General features: G+C 34.6%; 1 long non-coding RNA gene across 1 annotated transcript; it reads left to right on the top strand.

Annotated features, from left to right (window-relative positions):
• Positions 1–24,139, top strand: LOC107984622 (uncharacterized). Its single transcript, XR_001749894.1, has 3 exons — positions 1–86; positions 5,274–5,387; positions 24,064–24,139. It is a non-coding gene; the product is annotated as an uncharacterized LOC107984622 (long non-coding RNA).
• The last annotated feature ends 1,128 nt before the right edge of the window (positions 24,140–25,267 follow it).

Here is a 25,267-nt window from a genome sequence, read left to right as displayed (position 1 = left end):
ATTTTGCTTTTACTTAGAGTGGACTGGAATTTTCCATCTGGGATAAATGGGGCCTGCAAAAATGTTCTAAACATGGAAAGAGTCAAGTAAGTTGAGGAAAATACAGGTTTTAAGCTAAAATACACTTATTAAATATATCAACATGGGTGTCATTGATGACTTTAACAGAGATATATAAATTGCAATATGTTCAGAAGTTAATTACAGAAGATAAACTTTTATTAGGACTTTGGAAAGTTCTTCTGAGAAAGTTAATACTAAATAAAAGGCAAGAGGAAGGGAAAAGTAGAGCTGTGTGTGGAATAGATGGACGACTGTATATGGATGAATGATTTCTGTTTTACTTGTTTTTGTTAATTTATTACTAATAGTATTAATTTTAATGTGTAATTAATTTGTTATTTATTAATTTTATTTATCTATTGACTGATGTGATAAATCAGAATGTGTGTCAATGAAAAGATACAGTAGAGGGGAAAATGTTGAACATGGATGAGAGTTAGAGAATAACCAACAGTACAAGGTTTTAATATGTGAGAAGGAAAAGAAGTGAAACAAAGGTAATGCACAAGACTTTGAAGGAACACTTTTGTCTAATTGTATCAGGATAGAAGGATAATCACAGATGAAAAATGATTCTAAATTGGCATCAAGGAGACTAAGAAATGGTCATTTGATGACTTCCATTTTTGTCTACGATGAAAACAAAACTCTTCTGACAAGAGAGTGGGAAGAGACGTGAGATATATGAGAAGGGTGAAAATGTTTTTGTATTGTTTTTCAGGGGAGTGGAAGAAAAAGCTGTCAAGAGAAAGAGTAAAATTGATTGCAAATAATGAAAGCCCGATAAATATTAATCACCATTCACTACTATACACCCAAATGCTCAGAGAAGAAGGTGTAATCTTTCCCAACTTTAAAAATCAAATGCACAGAAACATTGAAGTGAATATCTAAAACTGGAGCAGTAGCTCTAAAGGATAGATAAAATTTTAAAAATGAAAATAAACATTATTGGGAAAACATTAAAAAGTAGAATTTTCTCAGACTCACTTAAATCATCGGCCCACCTGACATAATTTTACATATGATTTACAAATCCAGATCAGTTATCAGCAAACTAGAGCTCATGGGCTAAATCTGGCCTGTCAGCAACATTTGTAAATAAGGTTTTACTGGAACACATCCATGTCTATTCATTCACATATTGTCCATGGCAACTTTTGCAATACAATGCTGAAACTGAACAATTACAACAAAAATTATATGGGCCACAGAGCCTAAAATATTTACTATCTGGAAATAGAGACAAAACGTTTTCTGATAAACTGTCTAAATTAAAACAGTGAGAATAATAAATTTATAGAATATTTTAGATACGTAATTAATTCTTCACATAAACTCTTGTAATTCATTCATTCAGCATATATTTTTAAGCCAAATTGAAGTGTCAGGCACTTTTTCAGACACTGAATAGTTAACAGTGAACAGGACAGGCAAAGTGTCTGTACTTAACAAGTTTACATTTTGGTAGAAAGAGGAAAACTCAGTAAATATACCAGATAATTAGCCATGAATACATGCTAAACAGAAAATTAAAAACTAATAACAGAGAGAAGTGACCGGTTAGTTACTTTAGTTTGGGTTTCAGGGAGACCTCCCCAGCAGAGGAGATGAAAGTTCAGGGGCTCAGTGGGCTGGGAGCACCTTCCAGGCAGAGGGGCCAGCTAGAGCAAAGGCCCTGAAACTAAAACAAGCTTGGTAGATTCAAGAAACAGAAAGCAGATCTGTTCCTTGGAATTACCAGACAAGGAGCTCAGTGGGCTGGGAGCACCTTCCAGGCAGAGGGGCCAGCTAGAGCAAAGGCCCTGAAGCTAAAACAAGCTTCGTAGATTCAAGAAACAGAAAGCAGATCTGTTCCTTGGAATTACCAGACAAATGCGAGAGTAGCTGTAGAGGAGTTTAGTCAGATAGATAAAAGTTAATTCATGTAGTAATTAGTATATCAGGATAGCCGACAGAATTTTAATTCAGTTAAAATGGAAAGCCACTGGATTAAAGTAAGCAAGCAAAGTGGTCTGATTGAATTTGAGGTTATTTGCTGGGGCTGCTATGTAGAGTTGTAGGGGGTTAGGTGGAGAACAGACTGCTGGTGCCAAGAGGAGAAGCAGAGAGAAGTTAGAAAGCTATTACAATTTCTGAGGCTATAGTTGAGTTTGGTGCAGAATAAGTGTTTTGTAGAGATGGAGAAAATTGAACCACTTCGAGATTTGTTTTTAAGACATAGCGGTAATAGGATTTCCTGATGAAATGAAGTAGGGATGAGAACTATACACAAATAATAACATATGGTTTTGACATGAGCAATTTAGAAATCAGGGGTTTTCTGTTAATAATATTGAGCCAGAAAAGCCTGCTTTATATCATAGTAGGGGAGTTGCATAAGATATTTGTTATCCATCTGCAGTTCCAAAGAGATCTGTGTCAGAGACATAGATTGTGATTGTATTGGAAGATGTGGGGCTAGATGAGATAAAATCAAATTTATACTAGGATGGAAAATAGAAGGAGCACCAGAATGACACATACAACATTTAAGGATCAAAAGAAAAAAACTCAGTACAAAAATTGGGGTCAAAGTGCAAGAAATATAACAGTTTAAATTGTGAATTTGGTGTGAAGAAAGCCAGGAGAATAAAGATTTTTTAAAAAGAAAAGAGTTAGCTGTTTCTAATGCTCATGGTAGATTAAGAATAAAAACCAAGAATTAACTTTTGAATTTGGAAACATAGAGTTCTTTGATTTTGATAGAATGGAAGGGTGATTATAGAAGATTAAGAAGAGGATGTGAAATGAGGACATGGATATAATTTCTATAGTTAACTTTTTTATGAACTTTTTTTTTTAAATACAGGAGTACAAAGGTATATAGTGGTAGGCAAAGAAGGGATCTAGTATGAAAGGACATTGTTCATATAGGAAATTTTACCGTATGTTGTATTCCATATGAGAATAACTCAGTAAAGAGGAATTAAAATATTGATAATGGGGATAATTGAAGGAGGCTGTGCTGTATGGCAGCAGAGAAGGAATTGAGCTAAAATTATATCTAGGATGGTTCTTACACTGTAAAAAGAAGGAATGGAAGATCATGAATAAGGATGGTCATAGGTTGATGCATTTTTGGTAGGCATATAAAGTAGTTCATATCTGATTACTTTTGTTTTCACCATGATAGATAAAATTGTGTCAATTGAGATTAGGAGGTAGGATTGAAACCATATTATTTCCTGGCCTTTCAGCACAATTCTTCCCTTTCTCAATGCTCTTTTCTGTATTGCAGGTGTTATAACCCCAGAAATGTCATTTTCCAGCATCTTTGCCATCACAGTTTTGGTATGTTTTGGCAGTGGGAGATCCCCAATACTGGTGACAAGAGCAGGCAGCAGTAGAAAAGAAGTAGAGCTTTTGAAGGCACAAAATATAAGCTTGGGTTCCTTTGGCAACTGCACCAGACAAATTTCTGCTCCTTCAGGAGTATAGCAGTTTCCCATTGACTACCCTCCCTTTTTAAGTATTTCAGTTCTTCCTACAATGTTGTAACCTAGTCCCTCACAAAAAAAAAAAAAAAAAAAAAAAAAAAATCCCTTCTGCCCGAAATACTTGAGAGTGGTAGCTTCTGTTTTGTCACCCAAATCCTGAGAGATACAATAATGTATGAAGTCTGAGGAAGAGAAGCAAGTGTGATATAGTCATATTCAGAAGCCTGATATGCAATGCATATAAAATCTAGCCTGTTATGTTTTAAATAAGACAAATTTGAGAAATAAGAACTCAAATTACTTGCCCATTTCGTATTGCTTCTGTGGTAGTGTATAGTTTGTTAAGCAACTCCACAAAATCACTCGTGTCGTGCTGCATAATTTAAAATCCTCAGTGGATGTTTCAATGTACCTTTGAAACTGAGCAACAATGTTGTCCAATGACAATTTGAGTCCTGCCAGTGGAAAAAATTCTTACTTCTTAACTCCTTCGACCATTTTATTCTTTAAGCAAATGTCTTTTTTTTTTGAGACAGGGTCTCCCTCTGTCACCCAGGCTAGACTCTGCAGTGGTGTGATCTCAGTTCGCTCACTGCAGCCTCTGCCTCCCAGGCTCAAGTGATTGAGTAGCTGGAATTACAGGTGTGCGCCACCATTTCCAGCTAATTTTGTATTTTTAGTAGAGGCAGGGTTTCACCATGTTGGCCAGGCTTGTCTTGAACTCCTGGCCTCAAGTGATCCGCCCACCTCAGCCTCCCAAAGTGCTGGAAATATTTCTTAATAAACTCTTAAATATACCATTCTACTATAATAAGATTTCCCTATAGGTCTAAAGATTTGTTTTATGACTGCTTAGAAAAAAAAATTGGATTTCTTTCTTGAATAAAGACCCTTAAATATTTCAAGATACCTGTTATGGAGATACTTTATTTTTTTCATCTTTAATACAAAATTACCCTAGATCTTTCCTTGCATACAATGGTATTGAGTCTACTCAATTAGTCTTCTGACTGCTTGCTTGCTCAAGCCATTAATCTCTCCCTCTCTTTTTATTCTTCTTCTCTACCTTATTTTATTTCTGTAATTCTCTAGCTTCACATTCTGTTGTCCACCTTAGGACTTATTACGGGCTGAATTTTGTCCATCCAAAATTCATGTTAAAGCCGTACCTCCTAGTACCAGTAGGCCTGTCATCTCGACCTCATCAGGTTAGTTAATATCTCTCTTAAAGTCTGAAAGCTAGAATTATTTAAGTACAGCATGAGCAGCCTAGAAAATGCTGAGAAAATTACTTTTCTTGCATCTAAGTTTATATCAACCTTTATTGCAAACTTAACAGCATTGATAAATATTTCAATGACAGTTAATTAAAATGTCCAAGTCTGTTTTAGTTTTTTGTTTTGTTTTTTTTTTTTGCATCACATGTGGTGTTTTGGTTGTATCCTCTCTCCTTTATATTAGAAATTCAGTTTTGAGACTTAAATGTAAGGTTTTACATTCATTCTTATTTAATATTACTTTATTGCATTTGGCTTCTTCCCAGGTTGGATACCTCTTCAGTCACGTAGCCTATTCCCTACATTGCCATATCTAAATACATAAATCAGTAGATTTTATCAGCATGGAATTATTACCATAATATAGTCAATATAGTCAATATCTAAAATATTTATGGATGGTTACCTTCAGATGACATCAGGGACTTAAAATCTGTATTTCTCAAAACACCAGTGCAGATTCAGAGAAGAAGGTGGAGCAAGATGGCAGAATAATTGTCCCTCCAATAAGGACATCAAGTTAACGACTACCTACACAGAAAAACAGCTTCATAAGAACGAAAATCAGGTGAGCATTCGTAGTTCTTGGTTTTAACTACATATTGCTGAAACACTGAAGAGATTAAAAAAAAAAACAGTTTTGAATTCTCAGCACCACTCCTCTCTCACCTCTTCCTCTGCAGGTGGGACATGGTGTGGAGAGCATTTCTGGCACTGGGAGAGGGAGAGCAAAACAATTGTGAGGCATTGAACTTACCGCTGTCCTGTTAGAGCAGAAAGAAAAACCAGACCAAACATAGCTGATGTCCGCACGCACAGGAAACATTTAAAACAGCCCTAGTCAGAGAGACTTTGCTAATCCCATTGGTCTGAATTTGAGTGCCTGCAAACCCAGAGCCAAAGTGCTTCTAGTCTCTAAGTAAACTTGAAACTTGCAACAATTCTTAGGTAAGTCTAGACCCAGAAACAGTGGACTCGGGGGACACATGACATACTGAGACACCAGCTGGGGCAGCCAAGGAAGTGCTGGCATCACCCTTCCCCTAACCCCAGACTGCAGAGTCTATGGCTCCAAAATTGACCCTTTCTTTACACTTAAAGAGAGGAGAGGGAAGACTGGAGAGAACTTTGTCTTGCATCTTGGATACCAGCTAACCCACAGCAAACAGGGCACTGATCAGTCATGAGGCCCCTGTTATAGGCCCTAGCTGCCAGATGACATTTCCAAACACACCCTGGGTGAGAAGGGAATCCACTGCCTTGAAAGAAAAGATCCAGTCCTGGAAACATTCATCACCTGCTAATAGAAGAGCCCTTGGGCCCTGAATAACCAGCAGTAATACCCAGGTACCACAAGGACCTTGGTAAGCCTCTAAGACTTGCTCGCTTCAAGTGAGACTCAGCACATTCCCAGCTGTGCTTGCTATGGGACAAAACTCCTTCTGCTTGAGAAAAGCAGAGGGAAAAGTAAAGGAGACTTTGTCTTGTACCTTAGGTACCAACACAATCACAGGAAGGTAGAGCACTCACCAGGCTCTTGGGGTACCCGACTCCAGGACTCAACTCTTAGACGGCATTTCTGGACCTGCCCTGGGCCAGAGGAAAACCCACAGGCCTGAAGGGTGAGTCCCAGGCCAGGCAGCATTTACCACCAGCTGACATAAGAGACCTTGGGCCTTAAAGAAACAGTGGTGGTAGTCTGGCCATAGTCCTCATGGCCATGAGTGTCAGTGGCTATGGCGTGATGCTCCCATGCCTTTGGAAAAGGGAGGGAAGAGTGGTTTTTTTGTTTGTTTGTTTGTTTGTTTTTGTGGTTTGAGTGCAGCTCAGTCACAATACAACAGAATACCAGTGAAATGGTTTGGCTCTGTGTCCCCACCTAAATGTCATCTCAAATTATATTCCCCATATGTTGAGGGAGGAGCCTGTTAGGAGGTGATTGGTTTATGGGGATGGTTTCCCTCATGCTTTTCTCATGATGTGAGTGAGTTCTCACGAGATCTGATGGTTTAAAAGTGTTTGGAAGTTATCCCCTTGCTCTCACTCTCTCCCTTGCCACCATGTAAGATGTGCCTTGTTTCCTCTTCACCTTCCACCATGATTGTAAGTTTCCTGAAGCCTCCCCAGCCATGCAGAACTGTGAGTCATTTAATGCTCTTTTCTTTATAAATGACTCAGTCTCAAATAGTTCTTTATAGCAGTGTGAAAATGGCCTAACACAATCAGGTAGACGTGTAAGGTTTATGGCTCTATTCCCTGACTCCTGGAAGGCACTCTGGACCCACCTGGGGCCTTGACAACCTTGCTGCCCTCAAGGGAAAGACACAGGCCTGGCTCGCTTTGCCACCTGCTGATTGCATAACGCTATGGCCTTGAACAAACATAGGCAGTAGCCAGGGAGTGGTTACAGCAGGCCTTGGGCAAGACCCAGAACTGTGCTGGCTTCAGGTCTGATCCAGCACAGTCATAGTGGTGAAAAGGAGCTTCAATATGTCTGGCAGCAGACTTTTTAATGAAAACCTTACAGGTCAGGAGAGAATAATGTAACATATTTAAAGTACTGAAGGAAAAAAATTACCCTAGAGTACCATATTTGGCAAAAATATCCTTTAAACATGAAGAAGAAATAAAGACTTTCCCAGACAAACAAAAGCTGAAGGATTTTATGAATACCAGACTCATCCTAAAGAAATGCTAAATGGACTACTTCGATGAGAAAGAAAAAGATATTAATGAGCAATAAATAATACCCTGAAGGTATAAAACTTACTGGTAATAGTACACAGAAAAACACATAACATTATAACCCTGTAACTGTGGTATTACTTTCTACTTAGGATAACTTTCATCCTAAGTAGAAAGGTGAAACGATGATCCAATCAAAAATAATAACTAAAGCAACGTTTCAAGACATAGTATAATAAGATATAAATAGAAACAACATAAAGTTAAGAAGCAGAGGGACAAAGTTAAGGCAAGCTTTTATTAGTTTTCCTTTGGCTTATTTGTTTAGGCAAATAGTGTTGTTATTATCAGGTTAAAATAATAGTTTAAAAGATAGTATTTGCAAGCTTTATGGTAACCTCAAACCAAAAAACATACAATGAATACACAAAAAATTAAAAGCAAGAAACTAAATCATATCAGAGAAAATCACCTTCACTGAAGGAAGAGAAGAATGAAAGAAAGAAGGAAGAGAAAACTACAAAATAACCCGAAAACAAATAACAAAAAAGGTCAGGTTTAAGTCATTACTTATCAATAATAACATTGATTGGAAATGGATTAAACTGATTAATAAAAAGACATAGACTGGCTGAATGGATGAAAATACCAGACCCATTGATCTGTTGTCTACAAGGAACAGACTTCATCTATAAAGACACAAATAGACTGAAAATAAAGAGATGGCATAAGATATACCATACCACCGGAAATCAAAAAAGAGCAGGAGTCACTATACTTTGACAAGATAAATTCCAAGACAGAAACTATAAGAAAAGACAAAGAAGATTACCATAGAATGATGAAAGGGTCAATTCAGCAAGAGGATACAAAAATTTTAAATATATATATGTACCGCAAACTGGAGCATAATATAAATGAAATATTATTACAGCCAGCCAAAGAGAGAATTGCTTGAACCTGGGAGGTGGAGATTGCAGTGAGCTGAGATCACCCCATTGCACTCCAGCCTGGGTAACAGGCAAGACTCTGTCTCAAAACAAAACAAAACAAAAAAACCCTCAGACCCAATGGCTTCACTGCTGAATTCTACCAAACATTTAAAGAAGAACTAATAATACCAATCCTACTCAAACTATTCCACAAAACAGAGGAAAAGGGCATATTCCCAAACACATTCTATGAGGCAAGTATTACCCTGATAACGAAACCAAAGACACATCAAAAAAAAAGAATACTACAGGCCAATGTTGCTGATGAATACTGATGCAAAAATCCTCAACAAAATTCTAGCAAACTGAATTCAACAATACATTAGAAAGATCATTTATCATGGCCAAGTGGGGTTTATCCCTGAGATGCAAGGATGGTTCAATGTATGCAAATCAATACATGTGATACATTATCAGAATAAAGAATAAAAACCATATAATCATTTTAATTGATGCTGAAAAAGAATTTGATAAAATTCAACATCCCTTAATGTTAAAAACCCTCAGAAAACTTGGCATACAGGAAACATATTTTAAAATAATAAAGCCATATATGACAGATACACATCTAGTATTATACTAAATGAAGAAAAACTGAAAGATATTAGAGGAAAGACTTTCAGTTTTTCTTTGTCTTTTCTTATAGTTTCTCATCCTTGTTTGCAGGTGATATGGTCTTATATTTGAAAAATCCTGAAGACTCCACAAGAAAGCTATTAGAACTGCTAAACAAATTCAGTAAAGTTGCAGGATACAAAACCAAAATACAAAAATCAATAGCATTTCTATATGCCAACGGTGAACAATGTGAAAAGGAAATTTAAAAATCCCATTTACAATAGGCATACATAAAATTAAATATCTAGAAATTAACTTAACCAAGTAAGTGAGAGATCTTCATGACTTAAGCTATAAAACACTGATGAAAGAAATTTAAGAAGATAAGAAAAGGAAAAATATTCCAGGTTCATGGATTGAAAAATAGATATTGTTAAAATGTCCATCTACCCACAGCAATCTACAGATTCAATGCAATCTCTATCAAAATACCATGACATTCGTCACAGAAATGGAAAAAAACCCCATAAAATTTATATGAAAGTGCAAAAGACTCAGAATAGCCAGAGCTATTCTAAGTAAAGAGGAACAAAACTGGAAGAATCACATTGCCTAACTTTAAATTATACTACAGAGTTATAGTAATCAAAACAGTGTGGTACTGGCATAAAAACAGACAGACAATGGAACAGAACAGAGAAGTCAGAGACAAATCCATACACCTAAGGTGAACTCATTTTTGACAAAGGTTCCAAGAGCATACATTGGGGAAAGATAGTCTATTCAAGAAATGTTTCTGGGAAAATTGGATATCCATGTGCAGAAGAATAAAACTAGACCCCTATTTCTCACCATATACAAAAATAAAATAGAAATGGATTAAAGACTTAAATCTAAGAACTTAAACCATGAACACACTACAAAACATTGGGGAAAGTCTCCAGACATTGTTCTGTGCAAACATTTCTTGAACAATACCCCACAAGCATAGGCAACCAAAGCAAACATTGACAAATGGGATCACATCAAGTTAAAAAACTTCTGCGCAGCAAAGGAAACAATCAACAAAGTCAAGAGACAAACCACAGAATGGGAGAAAATATTTGCAAACTACCCATCTGACAAGAGATTAATAACCAGAATATATAAGGAGCTCAAACTACTCTATAGAAAAAAAAAACCAAAAACTAATAATCTGGTCAAAAGACAGTCAAAAGATTTGAATATACATTTATCAAAAGAAGACAAGTAGCAAACAGGCATATGTAAAGGTGATCACTATCATTGATCACCAGAAAAATGAAAATTAGGACTACAATGAGATATCTTCTCACTCCAGATAAAATGGCTTATATCCAAAAGATTGGCAATAATAAATCCTGGCAAGGATGTGGAGAAAGGGGAGCTCTGGTATGCTATTGAAGGGAATGTAAATTAGTACAACCACTATGGAGAACAGTTTGGGGGTATCTCAAAAAACTGAAAATAGAGCTACCATGTGATCCAGCAATCCCAATTGCTGGGTATATAACTAAAAGAAATAAAATCACCAGGTGTGGTGGCTCACACCTGTAATCCTAGCACTTTGGGAGGCCCAAGTGGGTGGATCACTTGAGGCCAGGAGTTGAAGACCAGCCTGGCCAACTTGTCAAAACCCAATCTCTACAAAAAAGAAAAAGAAAAAGAAAGAAAAGTAAAGGAAAAGGAAAGGAAAGGAAAGGATAGAAAAGAAGGAAGGAAGGAAGGAAGAAAGGAAGGAAGGAAAAGAAAAAGAAAGAAAGAAAGAGAAAATCAGCATATTGAAGACAGATCTGCACTCCCATGTTTGTGGCAGCACTATTCACAATAGCCAAGATTTGGAAGCAACTGAAGTTTCCATCAACAGATGAATGGATAAAGAAAATGGGGTACATATACAGAATGGAGTACTATTCAGCCATAAAAAAGAATGAGTTCTAGTCATTTGCAACAACATGAATGGAACAGGAGATTATTATGTTAAGTGAAATAAACCAGGCATAGAAAGACAAACGTCACACATTTTCACTTACATGTGGGGTCTAAAAACCAAAACAATTGAACTCATGGATATAGAGTAGAAGGATGGTTACCAAAACCTGGGAAGGGTAGTAGGGGACTGGATAAGAAGGTGGGGATGGTTAATGGGCACAAAATGATTAAGGGGATGGATACCCCATTCTTCAGGATGTGCTTATTTCACATTGCCTGCCTTTATCAAAATGTCTCATGTACCCTATAAATATATATACCTACTATGTAACCACAAATATAAATGAAAAATTTAGAAAATATATAAAAATTACTGCAAATATTTAGGATTATCAGAATTAACTAACATGCAGAATAGAAAACACAGAAGAGGGAGGCAAGTGGGGAAAAATATGGGCTGAAACCAGAGACAATAATACAAAAAATCACACAAACAAGGAAGGACACTGTACTAGTTTTCCAGGGCTGCCATAACAGAATGCTATAGGCTGAGTGACTGAAACAAGAAAAATTTATTTTCTTACAGTTCTGGAGCCTTGAATTCCAAGGAGCCAGCAAAGTCGATTTCCTCTGAGGCCTCTCTCTTTGGCTTGCAGATGGCCACCCTCTTGTGCTGCCTCTTCAAGTGGCCTGTCCCCTGTGCATGCATCCCTGGTGTCTCTCCGTTGTCTCTTCTTATTAGGATATCAGAGAGAGAGGTTTAGGTCCCACCCTAATGGCTTTATTTTAACATAATCACATCTTTAAAGGCCCTAGCTCAAAATTGGGTAACATTGTGCAGTATCAGGGTTTAAGGCTTTAATATATGAATTTTGAAGGGAAAAATTCAGCCCATAACAGGTATTTAGATTGACAACAAAATATAAAGCTAGAGAATTACTGAAATAGAAGAAGTGGGAGTAGAAGGGAGAGTGGAAAAAATATATATATGTGTGTTTGTGTGTGTGTGTGTGCGCACTCACATGTGTGTATGTGTGTGTATATATATACATGGTTTAAGCAAGCAAGCAGAGTGAGACTACTAATTATACTTAAGACATATATTGACATCCTTTTAGTTTTCATAATCTCTATACCATCATGCAGAAGCAGGCTTGCTACATTCCGAAGGCCAGGAAGCAGCTCTCTCCATATCTATCCCATGTTCTCTGTCTTAGATGAAACAGACACAGAAATCTTCTGGATTTCCCTATGAATTTTAAAAAGTTCTGAAAATTTTCTGAAGAAGTGATATTTTAGATTATTATTAATGACTGTACCTTCATAAAATACCTAAACTCACTCCTGATCCTCTTTCCATTACCAAAATTGGCAAATAATATTTGCCTTATCTAATTTAAAATTTCTTTAGCTTTTAACACCTTTTATATTTTTTAAAATGTATTTGTTTTCAGTATTTCTTCACTCTGCACACTCTAGTTATTTTTTTTTACCTCCTTCGACAGTTAACACTTCATTTCTTTTGATATTCCTTACAATTGGATCCCTGAAAGTGTCACCCTCAGACCTCATTCCTTGGGTATTTGCTTACAATTCCAAAATTTCATACTTCATTCCTTGTGATACAGACCTACAAAGTATGTAATTTCTCCTTAGAAGATCTCCAGCTAATTGCCTCAGTTGCACTTAAAATTCAATATATTCAAAACAACTCATTTTCTTTGTTGTTAACCTACAAATATCATCATGGATCTAATCTGCTCTTCTCCCTGTGTTACTTCTGATTGATGAGTTTTATCATAATACCTAGTGGCTGAGGAAAGTGGAGCCATTGAGAAACCATCATCGCCAGTGTTTTTCACTCCAAACTCCATGCTGCTAGGGTGTCTACAAGAACATATACATGACCTACCTTCTCCTTCCTCTCAGACATCACATCATATTATATTTCCTCTCTTTCATTGTCTTTTGTGTGTACTGGGCATCTGCTTGTTCTTAAAGTACACTAACCTTTTCTTAGTTTCAGCATATTTGATCTTGCCCTTGACCTTGACCTCTACTTACAACTTTATTGAACGAAATTTTTAGGTGACTTATTCCTTCCCAATATTCAGTTCTCAGCTCAAATGTCTCTCATCATTAAAGTCTCTGCTAAAATGTCACCTCTTCAAAGATTCCTTCTTCACTACAATATCCAAATTATGTTCCCTGATGTCATCACCATTTGTCACTCTCTCTACTATTGCCTGCTTTATTTTCTTCATGGAACTTATCATTTTTTAATATTATGGACTCGATTTGTCTTGTTCATTAAAATCTAATCCTACAACTCCATTTTTTCACATCCCTAAAATAGCTTTTCATCATCTGCAGAATGATAGCTGACATTTTTACCACGGTATATGAGCCCATTATTATCTGGCCCTACCTACCTTTCTGTCTAACTTTAGTTAATCGCCATTCTTCCTTATCTCAAACTCTTTCACTTTATAATACAATTATTCAAAATCAACTTCCCTGCTTGCCCCATAACACAATAATTCTGTTTACCTGTGTTAACCTCAATATTCTCATACATAAAGCAGTTGGGGGAGGTAGCAAAAATTGAAAGAAATAATTTCTTTATAAATTATCTTGGGGAATGTGATAATATGTGTATAGTGCTATATATAGTGACTATCACATAATAAACACTCAGTAAGAGCTAGCTGTGATTATTGTCACTACTTCATTCCTGTGAAATGCTGTTAGAGATAAAATTTACACAACTAATCTGGCGATTGTAACTTTCAAAGAGTTTATCACCTCAAAAAGCACAATTTTGTCATTGTTAGCACCCTACATTAAAATTTTCTCAACTTTATTATATTTGCGTGTCTGCTTCATAGTGACAAAGTGTCAAAAGCTTAAGTTGAAAATGTGACAAACATGATATTTCTATTAAAATATAACATTTCAAGCCAAATTGCATTCAACTTTACAATGTGTTTACTTACGTTTTCTTGCCATTATGAAGCTATTTGACTATGTAATCTCAAGAAATTATGTATAAGAACACTGAAATATGATTTATTCTTAAAATTTATTTATAGTACGTCACTACCATCCAACTCATATTAAAAATTTGACTATTTTAAATACTTTTAAAATTTTGATTTAATAATATAAACAAATGTTACCTAATGAATTATAATGACTAAACCTAACAGTAGGACTTTATAGTCATTAACTGAAACTATACAAATTCAAAAGGAATATTAGAGCCAATTCACATAATAACTGTATTACTTAATATATTTAAAGTGGTGGTAAACAAATAACAGAGTAATAATACTTGGGCTTTCAGGTGGTCTTTACACTTTATTGGTCAGGGAACTAATGAGAATCATACCTGGTTGTTTTTATGTTTAATAAAAGCAGTAGTTAAGCTTAACACAGTTACTTACATAATGGACTGTGGCTGTCTAGCACAACTGAGTCATTGCGTTTGCCTCATGACGAAGTATTGAAACGTTCATTCAAAAACTATGTAAGCCAGGTGGTATACTAATTTTCATGTTGGTATATCATTGGCTACATAGTAATAGAATCTTATGGCAGATGGTGTTTTGAAAAATGATGACATACGGAAAGTCTCTCATCAGGTGGTATATGTAATATCTGCAACATATCCATTTCTATAAACTAAAAGATCATGAAATTTGAATTCTGATATTGGAGGAAACTTAGACATCATCCAGTTCAATATTCCACCAAATGGCAAAATTCTGACACAAAATTCATAAAGTATCTCACTCATCCTTTCCTTAAAACCTTCTAATAATAAGTAATGTGGTCTTTCACATGTCATCTCATTCTTTAAAAACAAAATGAAACATAACAAAAACACCTCCAATAATGAAACATTATTACAAGTTGAATTAAATGTCCCTTCTAGTTCTTACTCCTAGAGTGATGGATAAGCCTCCTGTTCCACAGAGCAGTCCTTTTTTTTTTGCTTTGATGGTGGATATCATACTCTAATCTCTTCTAATTCAATATAAATCATTCTAGATTCTATAATACTTTACTTTTTGCCCCTATTCCCAATCCCAATGTTATTCCAATTCTTGTCCCATAGAATTGCTCAAAGTTTATTTGGTTGATACCTTCCTGAAAAGAACAAAATATAATAGAAGTAACTTGAATAGTTGAGCAAGACAGTGTGAATCACAGAACGAACAAATTATAAACCTAAAAGAACACATTTAGGTACTTCTCTAGTCTATTTTCCATTCTATCCTATAATCTGTGGTCAAAATTAAGTATGAATACCTCTAATAATAGAGACATGTCTATCTCCCAAAGATAACTATTTGTATTTTTAGACAATGAATCAATTTTTAAGCCTTTGGTTTTAGTAGAAATCAAATATTCTGTAGTTAGCATATTTATTTTTTCTTCTGATATGTTTAGATCTATATTATTAATGTAATTGCTTTCACGTAACAAATAGTTAAACATTTAAAGATAGTTATAAATTGTCTTCCACTCCCATCTTTCAAGTCTGCATTTATTTTTTTCTTATTCTAAATACTACACTGTACACAACCTAAATTTTAGAAAGATTTTTGGCACTGAATTACACCTACATTTAGCTTATGGTTTAATAATATTATTACTGTTAGTTGCTATAGACAACAGTCTTTTTCACTTATGTTCTTTTCTACAGTTTTATATTTTCTCAGTTTCAAATTATTGAGATCAAGACATTTAAGTATAGGATGAGGATCTGAGAAGACTGACACGGAATGCTGTTAGATCTATTTTTAGAGTTATAAGAATCAGGTAGACATATCCCAGACCATTATTTCTTTAAGTCTTGTACACTTACCTCTAGTAGGTCATTCGCTGATCCTATTTTATGTTTATTTAGGTACCTATAATATTAACATTTCAAACAGGAAACAAATTAGGCAAAAATACTCTTCTTTGATGAATAGAATCCTGAGAGTAAGTTGACAGAGAGAAAGAAGTGAATAGATTGTCCAAATAAGTTAATAATAATATAACTACCAACTGAAAAATTGATATGGAAAAAAATGTGAAGGCAGAATAGAAATGTCTTATATTAAGTAAACTTTAATTGACTCTTTCCAGCTTCATTTGACCTAGACTGGTTTACCAGAACTAGGTGTATGTGGCGAATGTACAACTGATAATACATGTTCCATTAGCTCTGGTATCAAATACCTGGGTTTGAACCTTGGCTCTGACACCTACGTTTTAGTGAATGTGGATGAATTTTTTAAATTCAGTATTTCTATTGGAAAATGGGAATTAAAATACTCACTACCTCAATGATTTATTTTAAATAATACATTAAAGAATCCATGTAAACAGCTTAGTGCAATGCTTAATACAAAGAAATCAATAAATCAGCCTTTCCATTATCACTATCATTGCTATTACTTTTGCTTTAATCTTAAGACTTCTCTTTAGGTTGCTGTGGTGAACAAATTTGGAGAGACCAGATACTAGCTTTGATCAGTACGGCCTCAATAATTCTCAGCTTCACTAAACATTAGACAGGTTTCTTCCTGACTACAGACCCAGATTTCTATTTTCTTAGAGCATTTACTATAGAAAACTTACAATTGTAAATATTTTTCTGTCTCTTTGAGATGTAAAACTTTTCCCAAACTCATCAGTTTTTTAACTCAGGAATGTCTTTGTCAAGGGCCTTGATGCCATGTTTTTGAGATGCAACTATCAATAAAGATAGTGCCCTCTCAGTCTCTGTAGGAATGTAGGAGCCTAACTTCTATAAGGGACAATTAGCAAACACAGATGATGTAATCACATTGACCAACTTTTTTGTAATACTCCCCAGTACATTTCCACTTGTTCACCCCAACACTTAAAAACTCTCCTACTATTGTTTCAGCAGAGTTGAGTTCAATCTTTCTCCCTTGTACCAATAATCTTGATTAAAGTGTTTCTTGACTATTTAACATGGTTTAATGCAAATTTTCTTTAACAGCTCACAAATAAAATCGTGTTCTCTGAATAAAACCATTAATGTAGAGTTCAAATTTGAGCATAACTAGGGCTTTTCCTAGGGTTCCAACACGCCTGGAGATGTCTAAAAGACTGGTTGGGTATGTCTATTTGGAAACTATTTGCATCATAGACTAAGCTGCTTCTTGGGAAAGGCTTTACTAAGTGAAGAGGGAGGAAAGGCTCAGAAGCTGAATGTCACAGCAACGCCTCAGTGCTATAGGAGTTAAAAAGAAATTATTTAGGCAGGTAGTGAGGGTAAGGAAGTCCTTGGTAAGGTTTTCCTTTTATTGAAAAGAAGCCCCCAAATCATTTCTTTTCTAACAAAGAGCAGCCTATAAAGTTGAGTTGCAAACATAGATAAGCAAGCTAAAAACTTGCATAGGTAAATGCTGACAGCTGTGGCAATAGGAGACAGATACCTGGAGGCCAGGGATGTTCAACATGGCAGCTCCATCTTCTCTTTTCTTTATCAACCACATGTACAGTAAGAAAAGACAACATGGCACCGGCTGGGTAGAGACCCCATCCGCATAATAAAAGATTAGGGCAGATGGCTGGCTTCTTTACACGTTATGCGAACTTCATACCTGGTCTGATCCATCTCTCAGGCCCTGTGTAAATCAGACACAACCTCCTCAAGCTTGTCTATAAAACCTTGTGCATTTCATCATGAAACTGGAAGACCCACTCTGGTGCTTCTCTCTCTCTGCAGGACAGTTATTCTCTATTCTTTTTCTTTTGCCTACTAAACCTTCACTCTTAAACTCACTACCTGCGTGTCCCCATTCTTGATTTCCTTGGCATGAGACAATGAACCTTGGGTATTACCCCAGACAATGACACCGCTTCATTTGTATTGTTGGGGGGCTGGGACCATTTGGAATCCATGATGGTTCCTTGTGGACTGACCTCAGACTCAGGCCCTGCCGCCTCTTGTTTGAGTCCTAAAGAGAAGGAACTGCAAATGAAATTGAAAGAACTGTTTCACCAACGATTCTGCAAGATTCTAAAACATCCTTCAGAGTCAAAGATGTGAATTAGAAGTAAGGCAAAAATGCCTCTGTACTTGCATGGAAAAAAATAGCATGACCCCAGTGAGGATGTCAACTGACTAGCTGCTTGAATGATACTAGTTGGCAGAGCTCAGAAGCCTGATCACAGAGTTGTCCTATTTCTACACTTCAACACAGTGACATTTTGGTAGTATTATCAGGAGACAAAACTGCAGACAATTCATAAACTTGACATAATAACCTGACTTTGTATGTATCTAAAGTTTCAGAATCAGATATCAAAACAAAAAGATAGAACCAGACAGGAGAAAAACACTACGTATCACATTGTAGATAAATAGGCTGTTTTCTGGGGCATTCTCTTGAGTCTTCCAGAAATAGTTAGTTGAAACTTTTCTTTGAAACTGCAATGATGTCCTGCCATTCTCCATATATGTGACTTTCACAAGCATTCTAGTCATGGATCAATATATGATAATTACAATTATAAATACTTTTGAATAGTGAAATTAAAATATATGTCAAGTTTTTACATATAAGAAAACTACTACATTTTAAATTTATCAATATCATATTCTTGCTGAATTTTGGAGGCCTACTGAATGGAATACTTCTGGCTAAAGCCTAAATATTTACAACATCTAGGCTACAGATAGCATTAATGAGAATATATTCAACAAGTCATTAGAAAAAAGTAGGGGATGGAATCTCTTCATAGCAGTTTAAAAAACAGTTCCTTCTTTATGTAACATTAACTTTATTTATTTTAGGTAAAATTGCAATTACCAGTTCCACAGTTCTATTTCATTTGACTCCTGACTGCTTTTGTTATTAAAACCTACCTGTTGTTCAATATGTAATTTGAAAAATTGACTCTGATATTTAAACAGTTAGCAATCATTTTGTCAATAATTTGTCAATCTATTACTTAAATATGTATATGATTACTTTATTGTTTTGATATTAATTAAATCTGTTATGAGAGTCCCTAATTTTAAGGGATAAAAGTATAAAATAAATGTCATACATTAGATATTTAGAATTGTTCATTCTTCATATCTGCTACTTTGTAATCTTTGACCTCCATTCCATTGCCTTCGTCTCCACCACCCCAACCGTGGTACACAACCACTGTGTTCTCTATTTCTATGTATTTAACTTAATTTTTCCTTTAGATTCTGCATATATGTGGGCTTTTGTAATATTTTCTGAGTCTCACTTATTTCTCTTAGCATAATGTCTTCCAGGTCTATTCATATTGTGGCCTGTAGCAGAATCTTCTTTTCTTCTTTTTTAAGTCTGAATAATATTACATTGACATACATATATATGCATTATATATTGTCATATTGACACACATATATATGTATGTGCATAATATTTCCTAATGTACAGAAGTTTCTTTATCCATTTATCCATTGATGGACATCTAGGTTGATTCCATATCTTGCTATTGTGAATAATGCTGCAATGAACATGGGTATACAGTTATATTCATGAGGTGGTGATTTTATTCCTTCTGAGTATTATACCCAAGAGATGTAATCCAAAACATAAGGACTATATTTAATAACAGTGTATTGTATTCAGGATTTTTGCTAAATGAGTTAATTGTAGCTGCTCTTGCCACAGGGGAAATGGGTAGCTACGTGAGATGATAAATATGTAAATTTGTTTACTATAGTTAACCATTTTACTATATATATGTATCTCATAACATCATGTTGTATACCTTAAATACACATAGTAAATACAATTATTAATTATTATTTTATTAAAATAATATGTCAAGAGTGTAAATATATGAGAGCATAGTCCGTGGGTATCTATAAATGAAAGAGTATATTATTTTCAAATGTTAGTCATTTTGATAATCGATAGCTTTATATAATCCAAATTATAATTTATATTGTATTATCAACTCATAGTAAATCATGTTTCTTTATTTTTTATTTTGTTTCCAGAAATTAGCAGATATACTTACAGAAACATTTGGAGAAACTTATCCAAATAAAATCTGAAATAGTTTAACTTGAAGAAATTTACATGTGACACAATTTATTCTCAGAAAACTTATCAAATATTATATGTTTAAAAACTTAATTATTTGCATCAGACTTAATGTGTGTTTTTTTGTGTGAGATTTGAGTGACTCCAGACATAATTCTGTAGCCAAACTAAATATATGTAAGAATAAATTCAATCATCTTAGGTGAAATTATAAATTGTAGTTAAAGAGTATTGTTTGAAATTAGAATAGATTATACCTGCCCTATGTCAAAAGCATTATCTGTATTCTTTTATTTCAACATTCTTTTACTCTCTGCTTAAGTAGTTTTACTGTCTCCTTTTTCTTTAGTATACTTTAAAGAAAAATATCTTCCTTACTGGCTTTAGAACAGGAAATTTGAATGCTAAGATTCTGCTAAGATTTTATTCATGACAACATCATATTGTCTCTGATATGCTTATAGTATTAACAACTTGCCATAAAACAAGTTATAGCTGAAAGCCTTAAAATCCATTCCCTGTGAAACACACCTGCTGATGACTCACTCTTAAATGATGTAATTTTCAGGGTTATTTCATTTCCCTTATTGAACATTTTATATTGGGTCTATCTTTTAATCAGAGCATATAGCATGTCATATCTATGAACTGTGACCAATAAGTGTTTGCATATTGATTGTTCAGAATTCAAGACACATTTTCTCATGAAACGGTACTTTGGTTTCAGGATTTGGGGTGCACAAAATCATATTTGAGCTATAAAGTGGCAAAAATAATAATGCAATTGTATTAACCCACATTTTCGTTACTGTGACCAGAATAATTTGGGAAGGGAGGTAAAAAGTGAAGGAAAGAAAATAGCCAAAGATAAATTTTAAAATTTCCTACATTTGTCCTTGTCTTAAATCCTTTTACCTGTTAGCTGTGTGAGTTTGAGAAAATTAGCCAAATTTTTCTGGTCTGATTTATAAAAATAGGTTTATTATTACTACATTGATTATTTTTAAAATTATTAATGCATCTTGATGTACTTGCCTAAAGTTTTTATATCTGCATCTTCTGCTGTAAATCTTCCCTTCATAAATGAAAATTTTAATAAAATCAACTATGTGGAAATATATAATTAAAGGAATTCACTAACTGTGATTTTCATAATTTAGGGACATTCTCTTCTAGTAAGCATGGTGCATTATTTACTAGAGATATAATATGCATTAAAACAAAAAATGTTTTCTATCATCATAGAAAAGTTTGAGGTCCAGGGATAATCATCTCTGGATACATTATTTCCTACCGTCGTGGTACGTTACCACTAAAAGACTGGGCTGTAGAGAATGGTGGCACCCTGAGATCCTCATATTTAACATTCAAAAAAAAGTTTGTTAGCTCTCCAAGGATTTTTAGAGCTCACATATGGGAGCTGTCACCAAAGCCAATGCAGTTTTTATTCCTCCTCTATGTATGATACTAAATCTCAAATCAGCATCAGCATCAGCAGCAGCATCATCATCATCATCATCTACAAATCTGAAATTATTTGAAAATCACACGATAGCATTTGAAAAATAAGATTCAACAAAGTAAGGAATATATTTTGCAAACACAAAATAAATTTTGTAACAATTGGGTTTTTTTTTATCTTGGCAAAAACATTTATAGTGGATTTATTTTGGTTGTTTCAGCATGCTAACACACAAAACAAGTTTTATTGTTGCTGCTTATGGCTGCGTTTTTTTTTCACCACATCATACCTCTGACTAATAGGTACAAAGAGATTGATTTAAAAAATAAGTGTTAATAAGAGTGACATGTAAAACTCTTGAAGGAGATCAAACTCTTTAGCAGGGTAAATGGCCTATGGCAGTATCTGTAAATAGTTGTTATTTTGACTGGAGCATGCATCAGACACTTTAGAATGACATAAGGGGTACATTCCAAGGTGGTTTTATGATATGAAGTGCTCCATTGAAATCATTTCCTTTGAAACTGAAGCAGTCTACTTTTGTAAGATTTTATTCTCATTCTGAAGTGAATACATTTCAAACAGAGTGTTTTCTCCAATTATCAGTGCAGTGTATCATTCTATTTAGTTGCCTTTTTGTATTCAGTCATCTTTTATGCTTATTTTGGAAATTGGAGCTTGCAATATTCATAGTTTATTATGCTAACAAATTATAGTTAACAATAAAGACTTTTTGGCAGCCTAGTAGTCATTTTAAGTTTTCCTTACAATCAATAAGATGAGAGGAAAAACTCAATCAGCAGTAAGCTTTTTTAGTTCAATAACAATAAATACTCACAATGAATGTATAAACAGAATCAGGTCTGGGCCATGAAAAAGGAAAACGTTTTCTCATTATTTTTGTTTTTTTTAAAGGTGACTTTCCCTTTCAGATTCTAATTATCATTGCTCAAATTTTACACATTCTAGACATCCTACAAATGCTGCTATTTGATGAGCACAAGAGATTTTGTAAAGAATGTCAAAAAGATTGAAACTCAAATTCCCCCCTAACCGAGAAAACTTGAAGCAGACGTCATTATGCTGATGTCTCTATTTCAAAAAGAAAATAATCACCTAGATCTTATAGAAAAAGGTTGGATCTCAGTTTGTCATACCCCATCAGCCTTTATACAGTATAGATTTGTAGGTTGAAATAGTGATATTAATAATGTTAGAATTTGTATTTGCTCATTTTAAAAAACACAAGTAAGTTAAATATCAAGATTTCAAGGCTCAAGATATGGCTTTGCAATGGTTACAACTTTACACGAAGATAAATGCAACGTTCTTTGTCTTGGGAGATACACACACACACACACACACACACACACACAGGATACATATAAATAAGATACATTTTACATATACAGTATATATTTATATTAATAAATATAATTTTATATTACTTAGCATCTTGTGACATGAATATTCCTGAAGTCTTCTGCTAAATATATGCATGTGGATATATTTGAATTTATATATCAACATTAATTGTTCACTTGTTAGGAAACTGTATATAGTGCTCCTATAATGGTAAAAATACTAAAAATATCTGGGACTTCTGAAGATTAAAAATCACTTAAGGTAACATATATCATAATATTATTATCATATCTGATTTGAACTTCGAATGATAATATTCATAAAAATCATCAAACGTATTTACCAAAATTGACTACTGGTATTTTGGTATTTCCAAAAATTAAATTTCCACACAAAGGACTAAGCTTTGTTCCTATTTAACAAGAGTAAATACTAAAACTCTGTTATTAATTGTTGACTCCTCCTTGCTCCACAGGCTTTTTCAAACCATCTCTCTAATAATGTAACACTTTCATTTTGTTAAGGAGTATCTTCAGTTACTCCATTTTGACTGGTTCCATTATTTTTCTACTTATAATCATCTTCAGTTACCTCTCACCCAGTAATTACTAACTATAGTCATGTCTCTTATCAAGACACCATTTTCTTTTACTGTCTGACCAGATATCTTGAGAGGTTAATTAGTATCCGTAACTTTCACTTTCTCATTTCCCTTGGGTCCCCCACAGCAGCCGGGTCTCAGCCACCACCATACTTCTGATACTACTCTCACCAAATTTATTGATGACCTACAGCTGACTAGAAGGTGTTCTTTTTTCAGATTTCATTTTATTTTGACTTTCTGAAGCATTTTGGTCTTTAGGATAGATTCTATGGAGTCTGATAATCCTTGTGCAAAAGCCACCTGTATTACTATTTGTTCATAACTTCTAGGTACCTTAAACTTTTTGGATTCTCATTTTCCATATATGTAAATGAGAGTAGTGAGCCACAGTCATTGGGTGGTTTTGGTGATTAAATGAGATAATATATAGAAAGGATATTTTATACCACCTGACACATACTAAACACTCAAGAAATGTTAACTAAACTTTCTAAAATAATCCCTACATTTGACTTCTTTATGCTATTTACCTTCTCACCCAATATCTCTATTTTCTTCCATAGAACTAATTCGACTGTTGATGCCCATCGGACAAATACTATCAGGAACACAGGTATTGTCAACAAAGTTAGATATATTCATTGCTTTAACAAGCAAAAACCCGTAATGTAGTACCCGTGGGGCCTCTTACTAGGAGGAAAGTTAGGAAAGGATACTTTGTTTTTGTGCTAGAGGGTTATAGGAGAGTATTGAAATGTATGGTTTAGAATTTCCAATCACAGAAGTCAGTGTTCTTTCCTTTAAACCTGTAGTCATAAAGACCACTCAAATGAGAACAACAAAGATTGTTTTTTCAAAACTTGTTATAACAAGGGAGTCAGTCACCATCACTTGAGTTTTGCGGAGACTCAGAGATAGGCAGGGAAATGGGAAGGCGTTTCTTTAAACTTTTGAAAATAGGAAGGGGGAGGCTTAAGATGTTCTGTGATTGGAGATTGTTTTCAGGGGAACGCTAGAGGCAGAGTAACTGGAAGTGAGACATTCTTTATGATTGGTTTGGGAAACATATTTGTCTTTCTCTGCTTGGAGGTACGGACAAAAATTGTGGAAGCTGGCAGTCAGTGACCATTTTTGGCTGATTGCTGCAGAATTTGTGAGTTAACATTCTATAGTCATTCATGACTTGACCACTGTCCATTTTCATATTCAGTTTGTCAGAATCCATGCATTTGTACATAGTGAATTTTAGACTAATTTGTCTGTGAATATTTTGGACCATCTGGCTCTGAATGAATTGGTATTTTTTAAGAAGCAGTTTAGATATTTTATGAAAGCTATTATGTTTTTGTTTTATTTGGTTAATTTACTTTGAAAGTCAGGGTGCGTTGTACAGGTCATGGTTTATTTTTCAATTTTCAGTTATCCCCTAACAGCTAAGCAGTCAGAAGGTCATATTTTCACTTATCACAAACTACAAATAAGATACCTCCATCTGGATGTTTCAAAAGCATCTCAAAACAAAACAGCTAAAGTCTTTTCACCTGTACCTAGAAAGCATTTTTTACTTACATTTAATTGCTAAATACCTACTGATCTCCTTTTTCCTTGTGTTTTACTAGTATTGACTTGCTCTATGCTTTAAATATCTCTTGCCCAGGCAATTGTAATACACCCCTAATATCTATTCTATCCTTTCTCTCCTTCAGTCTACCTACTCCCAAGTTAGTAAGGTTACATTTCTAAAGTACAGAATGTGCCTTCTAACAT

This window comes from Homo sapiens, chromosome 13 (assembly GCF_000001405.40).
Source record: "Homo sapiens chromosome 13, GRCh38.p14 Primary Assembly".
In the NCBI taxonomy this organism is placed as follows: Eukaryota; Metazoa; Chordata; class Mammalia; order Primates; family Hominidae; genus Homo; species Homo sapiens.
Note: the sequence above shows the minus strand (reverse complement) of the source record. Positions and strands in the feature narration are given on the sequence as shown.